This window comes from Homo sapiens, chromosome 8 (genome assembly GCF_000001405.40).
Source record: "Homo sapiens chromosome 8, GRCh38.p14 Primary Assembly".
Classification (NCBI taxonomy): Eukaryota; Metazoa; Chordata; class Mammalia; order Primates; family Hominidae; genus Homo; species Homo sapiens.
Window position 1 is genome coordinate 116,251,185 of NC_000008.11, and position 13,998 is coordinate 116,265,182.

The 13,998-nt window shown below is 38.7% G+C and overlaps 1 long non-coding RNA gene across 1 annotated transcript in view; it reads right to left on the bottom strand.

Annotated features, from left to right (window-relative positions):
- Nucleotides 1–13,998, bottom strand: part of LINC00536 (long intergenic non-protein coding RNA 536) — a 374,549-nt gene that overhangs the window by 300,674 nt on the left and 59,877 nt on the right. Inside the window, exons 3-4 of the long non-coding RNA NR_046215.1 lie at nt 9,163–9,493; nt 8,308–8,847 (exon numbers count right to left, since the gene is read on the bottom strand). This is a non-coding gene — a long non-coding RNA (long intergenic non-protein coding RNA 536). The remainder of the gene's footprint in view (nt 1–8,307; nt 8,848–9,162; nt 9,494–13,998) is intronic.

The following is a 13,998-nucleotide window of genomic DNA, read 5'->3' on the forward strand; positions in this document are numbered from 1 at the left end:
TAAAGGTTTGTAAACGTACCTATCAGCATTCTGTGTCTAGCTAATCAGGTAGGGGACTTGGAGAACTTTTCTGTCAAGCTAAAGGATTGTAAATGCACCAATCAGCACTCTGTGTCTAGCTAAAGGTTTGTAAACACACCAATCAGCACTGTCTAAAAACGGACCAATCAGCACTCTGTAAAATGGACCAATCAGCAGGATGTGGGTGGGGCCAAATAAGGGAACAAAAGCTGGCCAGCCCAGCCAGTAGTGGCAACCTGCTGGGGTCCCCTTCCACCCTGTGGAAGCTTTGTTCATTCGCTCTTCACAATAAATCTTGCTGCTGCTCACTCTTTGGGTCCGCACTGCCTTTATGAGCTGTAACATTCACCGCAAAGGTCTGCAGCTTCACTCCTGAAGCCAGCAAGACCACGAACCCACCGGGAGGAATGAGCAACTCTGGGAGGAACGAACAACTCCGGACGCGCCGCCTTTAAGAGCTGTAGCACTCACTGTGAAGATCTGCGGCTTCACTCCTGAAGTCAGCAAGACCGCAAACCCACCAGAAGGAAGAAACTCTGGACACATCTGAACATCTGAAGGAACAAACTCTGGACACGCCATCTTTAAGAACTTTAACATTCACCGTGAGGGTCTGCAGCTTCATTCTTGAAGTCAGCAATACCAAGAACCCACCGGAAAAAAACAATTCTGGACACAAGATATCAGGAGAAGAGAGGTTCCATGAAGGAAAATAAAGTCAGATATGGAAGCTAGAGAGTGAGGTGATGAGGATGACTATTTTGGGATGGAATCATGGAAGACTTTCTGTTATTTAGGCAGGGGACTAGAGGAAGTGAGTAGATAAACCTTGCAAATATCAGGCAGAAGAGGTGTTCACTTGTGTAAGTCAAGGGTACAAACCCTGAGGTGGAGCATGCTGGGTGTGCTAAAGCAACAGCGAGGAGGCCAGAGTGCTAGGAGTAGAGGGAATGAGGGAGAGATTCATAGGAAATGGGTCAGAGAGGCAGTGGAGGCATAGGTAATTAGGAACATGTAGTCCTCATATAAAGGACTCATATACAGGAAACTCATATATTGGAACCACCTATAAAGACTTTGGCTTTTACTCTGAGACTGGAAGCAATCAGAAGGTTTTCAGCTGAGGAAAGACATGATTGGATTTATTTTTAACCACATTGTTGTGGCTTCTGGTTTGAGAACAAGAGACCAAGTATGGAAGCTGGGGAAATTGTAAGGAAACTGTTGCAAATATACATATATGATGATTGTTTCGACTAAAATCCCCAAGTAGAAGGAAATATTGTGAAGTCGGGAAAAATTCTAGATATATTTTGATGACAGAAAAAATGGAATTTGCTAATAGAGTGGATATCAGATATAAGAGGAGGAGTGGAATTCAGGATTATATTCAGAATTTTGGCAAGAACAACTGGAAGAGTGGAGGTGACATTTGCTGAAATGAAGACAGCAAGAGGAATAGGTTTGAGGGTTAGTGTGTTGTGAGGTACTCAAAATTTCCACCATCTTTAAAGATTTAGAGTGTTCTCAACTGGGTAAGTAGCCTAATTGAAATGAGTATTTGAGTAGCTCTGATTAAATGTTATTTTTAGTTTACTATTGTTCTCAATCTTATAAGGATACTGAAACAAGTTATTAAGTACTTATTTAAAAAATGCAGGGGATACTCCTGAAAGCAGTCAGAGAAATATAGGACTATATTTCCAGTGCATCATTTGTAATTCTGTCTTCTATTTCGCATGTCTCCATGAGTCTTCAAATGACCTGTGATTACATGTTTTGGGCATCAAAAAAATGGGCATTTTGGTCTCTACAGTAAAACTTTACTTTTTCTGCACTCAACCTACTTAATCTCCAACAGCGATAACCAAACTATTTTAAAAAATAGAAGTTAAGGATTTGGAAAGAAGAATCTAACAAATCTAAGTGAGTTGGGCAATTAATGTCTTGAATGCTAAATTCCCAGTAACTTCCTGTTAAAATTCAATTTAAAATCTCTTTTTTTTTTTTTTTGAGACGGAGTCTCGCTCTGTCACCCAGGCTGGAGTGCAGTGGCACGATCTCCACTCACTGCAAGCTCTGCCTCCTGGGTTCATGCCATTCTCCTGCCTCAGCCTCCCAAGTAGCTGGGACTACAGGCGCCTGCCACCAAGCACGGCTAATTTTTTTTTTGTATTTTTAGTAAAGACGGGGTTTCACCGCGTTAGCCAGAATGGTCTCCATCTCCTGATCTCGTGATCCGCCTTGGCCTCCCAAAGTGCTGGGATTACAGGCGTGAGCCACCGCACCTGGCCTTAAAATCTCTGCTAATGTTACAATATTGTGATGTTGTTGCTAAGCTTTATTTTATTTATTTTATTTTTTCATAGGAAGGGGAAGGGACACTGTCACTTTTTGCTCCCAATCTCCTTGAACATATCTGACATCTTCATGACTGCATTTTTATAATTCCATTGTTTTTCCTTACAGAGAATAGTTGGTTTGTATTTCTAGTTTCATTTGATGCTTTTATTTAAAGAAAATTCTGTCTGAAACAAAGAGGCAGTGAAAATTAATTTAATCTGAACAAGCTGAAAGAAGCTCATTTCTAACCGTTCAGGAAAGCACATTTAAAACATACCAGATTTGTTACAAAGCTTATGTGTATTCTAATGAAAAAAGAAAACTCAAATCCAGACTTCCATTTATATGTACAATCCATTTGAGATAGGAGAAAAAATGTAAAGCAGTCATATTATACATGCCACAGGTAGGAATAGAAATAAAAAGCATTAGCAGGGACTTGATAGAAAATGTAGTAAAAGTTGATTTATGTACTACAAGGGTTGAAGTGAAGGGTCCTTAAGGGGACCAGAAGTCAAAAAACCAATATACTATTAATGCAAAAGAAAAAAACTCCACATTCAGATACACAGGGAAGATGAAAGCACAGGCCCTGCAGAAAAGAAAAAAGAATCTTATTGATAGGAATTTTATAAGGGACTCAAAATATACTTAATCTATAAATACAAAAGAAAATTCAATTAAACTTAAGTTTGAGAGTGGATATTTAATTTCAGTTCACTATTTTAATTTCTTGCTAATAAAGTTGAAGGATTTTTCCATGTGAGAGACTATTTTTTAAAAATCCTTGACTGAAACTGAATAAGAAGGAAGACAGGATTAGATATTTAAAAATAAATAAATAATGGTAAAAATAATTAATCTAAATAATAAAGCGGGCTGCAGCATAACCAAACACCTCGGTAGTATTTGTGGTTAAGGAAAGATTAATTTTTTTCCCCAAATTTTCCCTAAGTAGTCCAATTATCTTAGTATAAACTATTAATGGGCAATGATTTAAATAGACATTGAAATCAAAATACTCCTTAAATGTCCACACTTAATTTGTATGTCTGCTTATTGTTAAAATTTGCATAAGAAAGTAAAGCTCACAGGTTTAGAATAGATAATTAAAAACATATTTTAGCAGGGTTATTGAAATCCTTTTGAAGGGTTGATATCAGTCAACTTTGATCATTTCTCTGGATGATTTAAAAAGGATGCCCCTAGGTTTATTTCAGATTGTCAAAGTCCAAAATATAAATGCAATAAATATAAAGCTTTGATTAGCCTATAAGAATAAGATAGAGATGAAGGCGATGTTACATGAATATACTAATATGCTTTGGGTCTGTGTCCCCGCCCAAATCTCATGTCTAGTTGTAATCCTCAGCATTGGAAGCAGGACCTGATAGGTGGTGATTGGATTATGGGGGGCAGATTTCCCCTTTGGTGTTGTTCTCATGATAGTGAGTGAGTTCTTGTGAGATCTGGTTGTTCAAAAGTGTGTAGCACGTCCTCTCTCCCTTTCTTCCCCCTGTCCAGCCATGTAAGACGAGCCTGCTTCCCCTTCAACTTCTTCCATAATTGTAAATTTTCTGAGGCCTCCCCACCCATGCTTCCTTTACAGGCTGTGGAACTGTGAGCCAATTAAAACCCCTTTTCTTTATAAATTACCCTGTCTTGGATATGTCTTTATAACAATGAGAGAACAGACTAATGTACATATCACATTTGATACTCTAAGAGATCATTGTTATGCCACAGTTTTAAGAAAATGTATGCCAGGCAGAAAATAGAAGAAAAGCTCAGGATAATGAATGAAAATGTTAAAACTTAGTCTTGGTGCTTATGATTGAATTATGTAAATACTTGAAACTAACATCATATAATAGATGTGGCCATAACTTAGCCCTCCCAAAAATTCAATATGATGGCAAATACCACCTTTTTATATATGGAGAAACTGAGGAACAGCAAGTTAAAAAGTTGTAAAACATTTGTCCAGGGTCAGTGATTCCTTAAAGGCTCAAACTCTAGTGTGATGGTTAATTTTATATGTCAACTTAACTGAGCTAAGGGATGTCCAGATAGCTGGTAAAGCATTATTTCTGAGTGTGTCTGTGAAGGTGTTTCCAGAGGAGGTTAGCATTTGAATCAGTAGACTGAGTAAAGAAGATCCACCTTTATCTATGTGGGCAGACATCACCCAATCCATCGAGGACCTAAACAGAACAAAAAGATAGAGGCAGGATGAATTCTCTCCATTTTTTCTTGATCTGGGATATCCATTTTCTTCTGCCTTTGGATATTGGAACCCCTGGTTCTGAGGCCTTTGGACTGGGACTCACTGACACCATCAGCTTTCCTAGTTCTCAGTTTACAGTTGGCAGGTGGTGGAACTTCTCAGCCTCTATAACCACAGGAGCCAATTTCCATAATACATCTCCTCCTATATACCTATATCTGCATCTATAAAAATAGCTATCTCCTATTAGTTTTGTTTCCCTCTGGGGAATCCTGATTAAAACATCTGGTAACATGGAGAACTTTGCAAGCCATTCACCACCACCCTGACAATCCATCACTTCCTTTTAAGCCTCAGGGGCTGGGTCAGTATTTCATCCCATGAGATGCAAATTGGGGCATTTGCTTCAAATTACACCTGCTGACCTCAGGACTCTAAACTGAAGATATTAGACGCTGATTTTCAGTTTCCTCCACCTCCCCCACATTCTTGCCCTCCAATTTGTGGATAACCTGTGGCTCTATAAGCATTATGTTTCAAGTTTATGTGAGTTTCTTAAGTGCCTGTTGTCCATCCTTTATCACCAATCTTATCTCTTATTGGTAACATTATCTCCGAATTTGAAAGCCTGAAAAAAAAATGCTCTGGTGGCAGTTTAATTCTGTGTAAGATTTCTTACTCATTAATGTATTATTATTAATATTTATTCAGTGTTTTCAATTTAATGGCAAAGTGAGACAAACCAAACTTTCTCTTCCAGAAGAAACTAGACATAGATAGTCTTGAGTCATTGAGCCAAATAACGAAGGAGAGAAAGCCTTTGTAGAAATTAACTTAGGAAACTAAAAAAAAAAAAAAAATCATTTTTGCTAACTTCATTTTTAATTTTTGGGGTGGATAAATTCATAATAGATTTGTTCTTGAAATGAATATTAAAGAAACTGCAGTAGCTCCCTAAATCCCACTGGAAGAAGAGACCATCAATACTAAGAGATATCAGGTGTACCATTTCTAACCAACTGCCTAATATTACTATTATTCAAAGAGGTAGCACTTCAGCTACCAATATGGCATAAAGGAATTGTCCTGTGGCATAATCCACCAAAGTGATTATGAATTAAATTTAGAATAAAAAGTCAGAGGAGGGAAGGAATAAACTCCACCTGAGAACAACTGCTTAATTACTTGACCGAATTTAGAGACTGGAAAGCATAACACAGAATTAGCACATGTGCACCTATTGAACATTTCTTTAAGAGGAAATTCCCTCATGATAAGAAATGGCCTGCCTATTTGCTGCCCAGGGAACATGAAGTTTCTGCTCTTGCTGCTCTTCTCTGGAAAGCAGGGCTGAACAGCCATTTTTCTTGCCCTGTTGATTTGCAGTTTGATAGTCAATGTGACCTCAAGCTAAGCATAAACTCCATGTTATTCTAACAGAGACCATGCCAAAGTGTATGGAAAGAAACAGAGCCAAGTACAGATAAAAAAAGCAAACATTAAGACAAGAAAAACTTCCAAGGTTCAGAGGATCGTGTCTTTGGGGAACACTTCCTACAAAATGGCATGCCTTCAAATTACACTAAGGACATTTGCAGGAGGCAGTTTTATAGTCATCCATTTGCCATTCTTAGTAGCATTTACAAACAAGGCGCCCAGGAAGAAGACATATATATGCAGGAGAGTCACTATATGAAACACTCACATTTCACTTTTCCTTCTTCAATAGTTAGAAGGATATTTTTCTGGCTGGTTGATTTACAGAAATATTTTTTTCCTGAGTAAATCTCTGCCTATTAAATCCCAGTGACACTCTGCATGGGAAAACACATCTGATCAGCTAAAGATGTCTATCTTTCTTATAAATGCAGCAAAAAAAAGAAAAAAGATAGAAAGAAATTGTAACCAAAAATATTTAGTGATCTTTAAAATATCATAAATTGCCAGTAACTAATGGCTGGTGTATTGATTAATAGCTTGAAGTACATAGTGGGCGGTTAATGCTATAACAAACCCCTCTGGGATTTATTACACCAATAATTCGGTGAAACTACTAAGTTTCAAGAACCTATTGCTGAAATAAACCATATTCTTTAGCACCCACCAGCAGTGGTATTTATATACATACATATATATTTCCCTTCTTAAATAAATTGTTTGTGTGGGAAATTGATCATTTATATTTGCCCAGTCAGAAAATGTGAACATTTAAATGGTTTATCACTAGATGATGTGATCTTGCAAACTCTGTAAGTTGTTTTTATTTTTTTTAATCTTCTCACCTCCCTCTCAGGAACAAATGCCAGAAGCACTGAGATGCAAACTAGCTCAGTACAGTACTGGAAGAGCTAGTGCTAATCAAAGAGCTCTGACTTGAACCAGGCCTTAGAAGGAGAAGGTATTAAGGACTAATGCATTAATCTGTTAAGCCCCTGTGTCAGCTAGGAGGAAGAAAAAGAAAAAGAAAAAGAAAGAAAAGCACTGTTTAGTGGTGTGCCCTTAACAGGATATACTGGAGACTGAACTTGAACTTGGGAGGCAGTAGGGATGAAGAATCGCTTTTGAAGCTAGGTATACAGTGGAGAACACAGGGAAGCCAAGTCAGAATTGTAAGTAGTGTATGGCCTTCACCATGGTGTGGAATCCAAGCTGTTTGCATATTCAAGGAAGTTAAATATAGCAGTTGACAAATTTTGCTGCATATACTGAGAACCCTGGAAGGCATTGGAAAATACAAAAATAATGTCTAACTTTTAGTTACTTCTAAGTACTAAAGCCAACTCTCCTTGCCTTGCAGGCTGCTGCATCTCTTCTCTTCCCAAGGCTTGAGAAAGTAGATGCCCCCATGGAGGCTCAGCCCCATTCCTGCTCAGTGATAATGCCACTTTGTGAGTTTCAACCATGTACCGCCTCATAGGCCTCTGTGTCTGTTCTTCACTTAATTTATGAAAGGCAAGCATTTTTATCTCCACACTATGCTCTCCCTTTTTATAAGCTAAGTAACTTGAAGCTGTCACACAGCTAGTACAGTACAGATATAGGATTGAAATCTGGGTCCAAACTCTACACATTTTCCAACCACACTGCTATGGGCCAGCAATAAGTTATCCTCACTGTCACCATGCTCCTGTGTGGGTGCCTGTTTAAGGTATCTGGGTTTCTGCCTCATTTGTGTGTTATGGTTCTATGCATTATGGAAAATTGGGACTCTTTCTTCGTCATTTTTTTATAACTTGCAGAGTATTTCAGGCATATTTTCTCCATATCCCTGTCCTTCACTTTTAGCCACCAAGGGTTACATGGTTCATGAAAAGTAGTGATAATTGTTTTTTCATCCTGAGTCAGGGACCCTGCTAAGTCCTTTAAGGACATTGTCTCATTTACTCTTCACAGCTACCTTATAAAGTATGTATGTGTATATGTGTGTATAGATGTGTGCATATAAGTACACATTGTAACTATTTCAGGATGGAGGAATAAAAGCTTCAACATGTCAAGTAATTTGCCCAAGGCCATGTAGTTGGTAAAGCCATAGAGTGAGGATCTAAACTTAGGTCCACCTGACTCCAAATTGCAAACTTCCAGCTACCATGCTATACAGCTTCCTTCTCATGCCTCTTCCCAGGGACAAGAAACCAACCTTTAACTCTAACAGAGTGACTAGGGCCTTCCTGGCCCAACTGCCTGCATATTGCCCATTATTGTGTTTCACTTACCTTCCTAGGTTTGAGGTCACTTCGTAAGATTTAGGCCCAGTACCCAAGTTTAGCATATTGATCTTCTCCCCATGGTGCAGAGTGCTCTGTATAGCAGACTAAGGCTTCCTTCAGTACCTGCAGGTGAGGCTGAGCCCGAAGGATCTATCCCATCAAATGTGTAGACCTAGGGTCTCTTCCACTCCCTTTAGTTTTGCGTGGATATACCCAGACCATTTTTATATGAAGAAATCCTCCCTTTCCAAACTCCTTATTCCAACTTGCGAAGGAGTCAAGTGGGAAAAATTCCAATGAACGTTGTGAGTTGACTCTGTGTTTGCCACGGTTCTTCCACAGAGAAATGGGAAGTGAGCCTGATCATCTCCTTTCCCAGGCCATGCTCTCCTCTTGCTTCCCTCATCAGCGCAAAGCCCATTCTGCTGGACCTGCTGTGCATACATTTCTCTAGATGATTGGCTTCTTTAGGACCGTAACAGAGACTTTTTTGTTTACGTCTTGTGCCTCCTGCTCTGCAGCTCAGAACTGGTGTTCAACAAGTACCTGTAGATATTTAAAAAATGAAAGAATAATGACAACATGAAATAGGGGCAAAAACAGAAGGCACAAAGTCTACTGCTGTCTGTAGTTTTAGAGTCAGCTTCTTTAGTAGCCATAGGAATTACCCACATATCCTCCCAACATTGACTTCAAGAAATGAGAGAGCAAAAGAAAGAGAAAAGAGGAATTGGGAGAGAATGAGATTTTTATTTTCTCTGATCAAAAAGGTCTATTATAGAGTCTCTCTCTTTATCCTGCAAAATCCCTAGCCATAACCAAAGCACACTCCCCAAACCAGACCCTATCCAATGTACCCACATGAATTGCCATCTTTTTTCAATCATCTTCTTGCTTCTGTATATTCCTTTCCCATTTCTTTTTTAAGGCCTTTCTGCTTTTCATCTAAATTAGGCCCACCAGCAGCTTTTCTCACATAGTAGATATGGTTCCTAAAACGATCAGTAGAAATCAGAGCTCTGTAATAGGAATTATAGGTTGACGTCATTTTAGGGATTCCTAACTTTTCAGGTCTGACTCTCCTCAGCCAGCATCGTTTGTCATCATTTCAGTTGAAAGGTTCTCTGCTCCAGAGCTTCCACATTTAATAATTAGTGGTCTGTAAAACACTTGAGAGCACTGGAGGAGTTCTCTGTTGAAAGAAAATACAGGGATTAAAAATAGAAAATCATTGCCCTTCCATTCTTGAATCTTATAAGTGGGAATCAAAGAGACTTGGCGGTTGGCAGGAGGAGTTGTGGGAAAGCACATTCTAGGGAAAGGGCAATGGTGTCAGTAACTGATAAGTGGAAATTCCAGTGAACCAAGAATTATCTAGAAAATTATTTAGGGATGTAGGTATCAAGCCACATTTTGAGATCCTGATTTAGAAGTCCTGGGATCAGGCCCAGAAATCCATTTTTAGGAAGCATTTCCAGACAACTCTGATTATAGTCAGAAGACAATACTTTGAGAATCACTAGAGCATAATATTGTAGCACAGTACTTCTGAAGCTTTAATATACTTGAGAATTGCTGCCCCTCCCCATTAAAACTTGCCAATATATAAATTCCAAGAGAACCTGATTCCAAAGGTCTAGAGATCTAATAATTTGTTATTTCTAACAAGATCCGTAAACCATACATTGTAACTGTCACTGATACAACACAATAGTTCTCAAATTTGGCCATATAATGAATCACCTAGGAAGTTTAAAAAAAAAACTGATACCTTGATACTACCCCTAAAGACTCTAATTTAATTGATCCTTAAAGATTCTAATTTAATTGGTCCTTAATCTGAACGTCAGGATTTTTTTTAATTTCCCAAGTTATTTTAATGTGAAGCACACAAATGTCTCTCGCATGGCAAGTTTTATTCAGTACCTGCTGTATTGGTCAGATCGGTTAGCTGCTGTAGCAATCTAAATCTCAGTGGCCTACCACAAGAAAGATTTATTTTTTGTTTACACAAAGTTTAATGCGGATGTCTCTGTTGGGATGGTTTTCCAGGAAGCCCTCCTCCAAGCTATGATTCAGAGACCCAAGTATTTTTCACTTTGTGGCTCTGCCATCTTCTGGTTCTGGGGTCATTTTGGTATCATCTGGCTAAAACCCTGGGGGAAGAGAGAAAGAGAAAGGTGGTTAAGATTCTTAACAATCTCAGTCCTTCCATCAGCCTGAAGCGTCACGTGATTGATCTAACTGCAAAGGAGACTGAGGAAGGTGACGTAGCACATGGATATAAGTGAGCATTAATAGTTTCTGTCTCTTTGGCTGTGTTCCAGGCACTATGCTAGATGTCAGAAGGTGATGCAAAGAAGAATGTAAGCCATAATGCTGAGTTTAGAATTTTTTGTTTTGTTTTGTTTTTATAGCAATCAACCTCTTTGGTCAATTCAGCAAGTACTGAGTATATCTCACGTCGGCTTTGCTTCTGGAAACTGAGCGGTTATCATCATTCTTATCTCCATTTGGCCCCAAATACTCCAGTTCAAAAATCAGTTTGAGTAAAGTCCATTAACAGAGAATAACTCAGTGCAGTAGGATATGTCAGCTAGCATATAACTCTATTAAATCTACTTTTTCGTTTTGGCACATCATGGTACAGTCTTGAGTTAGACCCCTGATTTCCATATCAGCAAAACAGAAACAATAGTCTTTTTCTTCCAGAGTCATTTTGAGAATTAGAAAAAAAAAAAAGTGCTAATTATTCAGTAGGCCCTTGATATATGTGCACTATCATATTCTTATATATTGCATTATTACATATTCTTATATTATTATTGAAGAATTCTTAAAACTGCTTCATGGGTTTCCTCCAACAAGACTTCAGATCCTTGACAGAATGGACCATAGCTCACAATTTTTTCATCTACCATAGTGCTTGGTAAGTGATGGAAATAGAAAAGTTCATTTATAAGCACTTACTGAGTTGGGTTCACTAGAGGCAAGTCTGAGAGCCTGGGGCTGGCAGCTGTCTTAGAAGTTTCCTGAGAACTATTGTTCCTAAGATGGGCACTCCTATGAGGAAAAGTACTATAAAAATCCCCAAGGAACAAATATGGTAAAGTGTAGCTCTTGCAAAATGACAGCAATTTAAGTTTCATGAAAATGTCCACCCTTAATTATCTTCAAAATGTTCTGGGGTTCAGACTTCCCCATTAGTTCTAATCAGCCCTTCGCTTTTAACATTGAGCAATTACTTAACAAAAAAAGAATCCCCAATTGTGGACTCCATCATTACAACAGCCCATTTTATAGAGAAGGATCTATACTCTTAAGAGGGTAAGTGCCCACGTTCACAGATGTCTAAAAGTGGAAGAATCAAGATTCAAGTCCCATTTTCCTGCATACAAGCCATATGTATCTCAAACTGGGGATGCATCTACCCTCTAACAGTAAACAGTAGTCAGCACAAGTGTGCCAGGATAAAAATGGCACACCTGCCCGAAATGTCAATTAAAATATTAAGGCATTTTGTATATACAGAAAGACAGATATATCATGATGTAGAATGCAAATTTTCCATAATATATGATCACAAAGAAATTTAAAATTTGTGGTGGACTGCTTTCGACAATGCCTCTAGACCCCTGGGGCCACTCATGTTTGCTTCTCAGGAAACACGTAAGAAGAACTGCCCTTCTATGTGCCATAAAGGGCCATTATGAAATGCCAAGTAGAGCCTATTATTTGAGCCCAGTACTGGAAATCTGTCTGTAAAACTCTGTTCAGATGCAATAATGATTTAGGCAGGTTTGACTTCCCAGAAATGAAGGGAAGTGCTGAAAATAAATAGAAGATAATAAATCTCTTAATGGGGCAAAGGGGAAAAATAAAGCAAATTATGTTTTATCTGGCAAAGATATCATGGTCTTTTTTTTGTAATCTTCATTTTTCCTTTCTGTAGAAAGCAGTTAGTTCAAAATTAAAGAAAATTTGGATTACAGCTTGTAACACGGTGTCCCAGTTGAGCCTAACCTGGGACACAGAAAGTAACCATTTGCAGAAACCAGTGGGCCAGTGACCACTCTAGTCATTTATTTATATAAATGCATAAATATAAGCTATGTGAGCTATTGCTGGTACAAGGACATCTGAGTTGCTCCTCCTGTCTGTGGGCCCTGGGGGAATTAGGTACAGAAGGAGTAGTCACTAAGAGCAAAGGAGTTTCATTTATCTCTTATCTAATTTAACCTTATTCCAACTTGCAATGCAGAGCTCTAGTAAAGCAGGCTTGTGATAGATAGCTTTCCCTAAAAGCCAATGAGGGTCTCTGCCATCCCCTGAGCTCACATCCAAATCTTGTAATTTGACTACTCCTGAGCTTACTCCATGATACTGGAGATAGAAGAAGAAACAATGCACATGCTCAAAATGACATGAATGAAAAATGAAAATAAAAAATAAAGAACCTCGCATATCTTTTAATAGAGAGTAACCCTACCCAGTCATGCAAGTGACCCTGTTTATATCCTGAAATGAGAATTTGATTACCAGTTGCTCCTCCTAGGTGTTAAAGGAGTTAGAAGAGAGGCAGGATAGAGATGGGAAGAGAGACCCAATCTCAGGAAGAAGGAAATTTTGGACACAAATTTGAGTGCTAAGGACAGAAATTGGAGGGATGCAGATACTGGGAAGTATTTGTTTCGGGGTACAATAGTATTTTTATCCCCATTCCCCCTTTTGCCTCCATCTTCCGTTTTTGAGCTCAGACAAGAATGGGGCAAGAAATTAAATTAAACTCATTGAAGAGCATGTGAGACTGTAAGCATGATCAGGACCACTTTGGGGTCCAGGGCCATGAGAAATGAAATGTGGAATTTGTGAGAAACAAGAGAAACATTTTTATCTGACCCTCACCCTCAAACTACCAAAGACCACAGATATGAGATGCTCAGGTCCAGGAGTAGTAATTCCTAGTGTAGTGGCTGTGCCAGAAGAGCAGGGCATTCCCCAAAAAAAACACAGATGCTAAAGCAATGGTGAGGCCCTTTGGCACATAGGATGCAATGGAGAATTAATGGACTCATTCTTGAATACAAGTAAAATGTCTTTAGAGATTAGGAAAAATTGTTGAGAGAGCTTTTGAGAGCTGGTGATAATGATGAACACATGTGTGTAATTTTATAGTTTCAATTTTTTTTCACATATCTCATTTGTTTCTCACAATCACCCTAATAGGTGTGACAAGCATTGTTAGTATCCTCATTTTGCAGATGAGAAAACTGAGTCTCAGAGTTTTAAGCAAGCTGCCCAAGGTCATTTGTCTGGTAAGCGTCAAGGTTGAGAACTCAAAAACAGGATTTTTAGCTCTAAATTCTTTACTTTTTCCACTGGAATATATTGCCAGTTTGGAGTTGTGACAGTTCAGTTAACCAGTCCTTAAAAAAATATTTTAACAAAGCTGACTTAACATCAGGGAGCTGAAAGGAATTCAGCAATGGGCCTATGGGGAAAGGAAGTTACAAAAATCACAAGGCTGACCAGACCTTAAGCCCAGATGAAGAGAAAGGTGCCATCTCAGAATTGCCATGGCCTGCTCATTGAGAGTCCAGAAAGGACAGCCAAGGCTAAGAGACCAAGGGAGGCATGGAAGGTAGGAGCCAGAACTGCTTTCCAGGCATAGTAAAAGAAAACAACAACAAAAACATG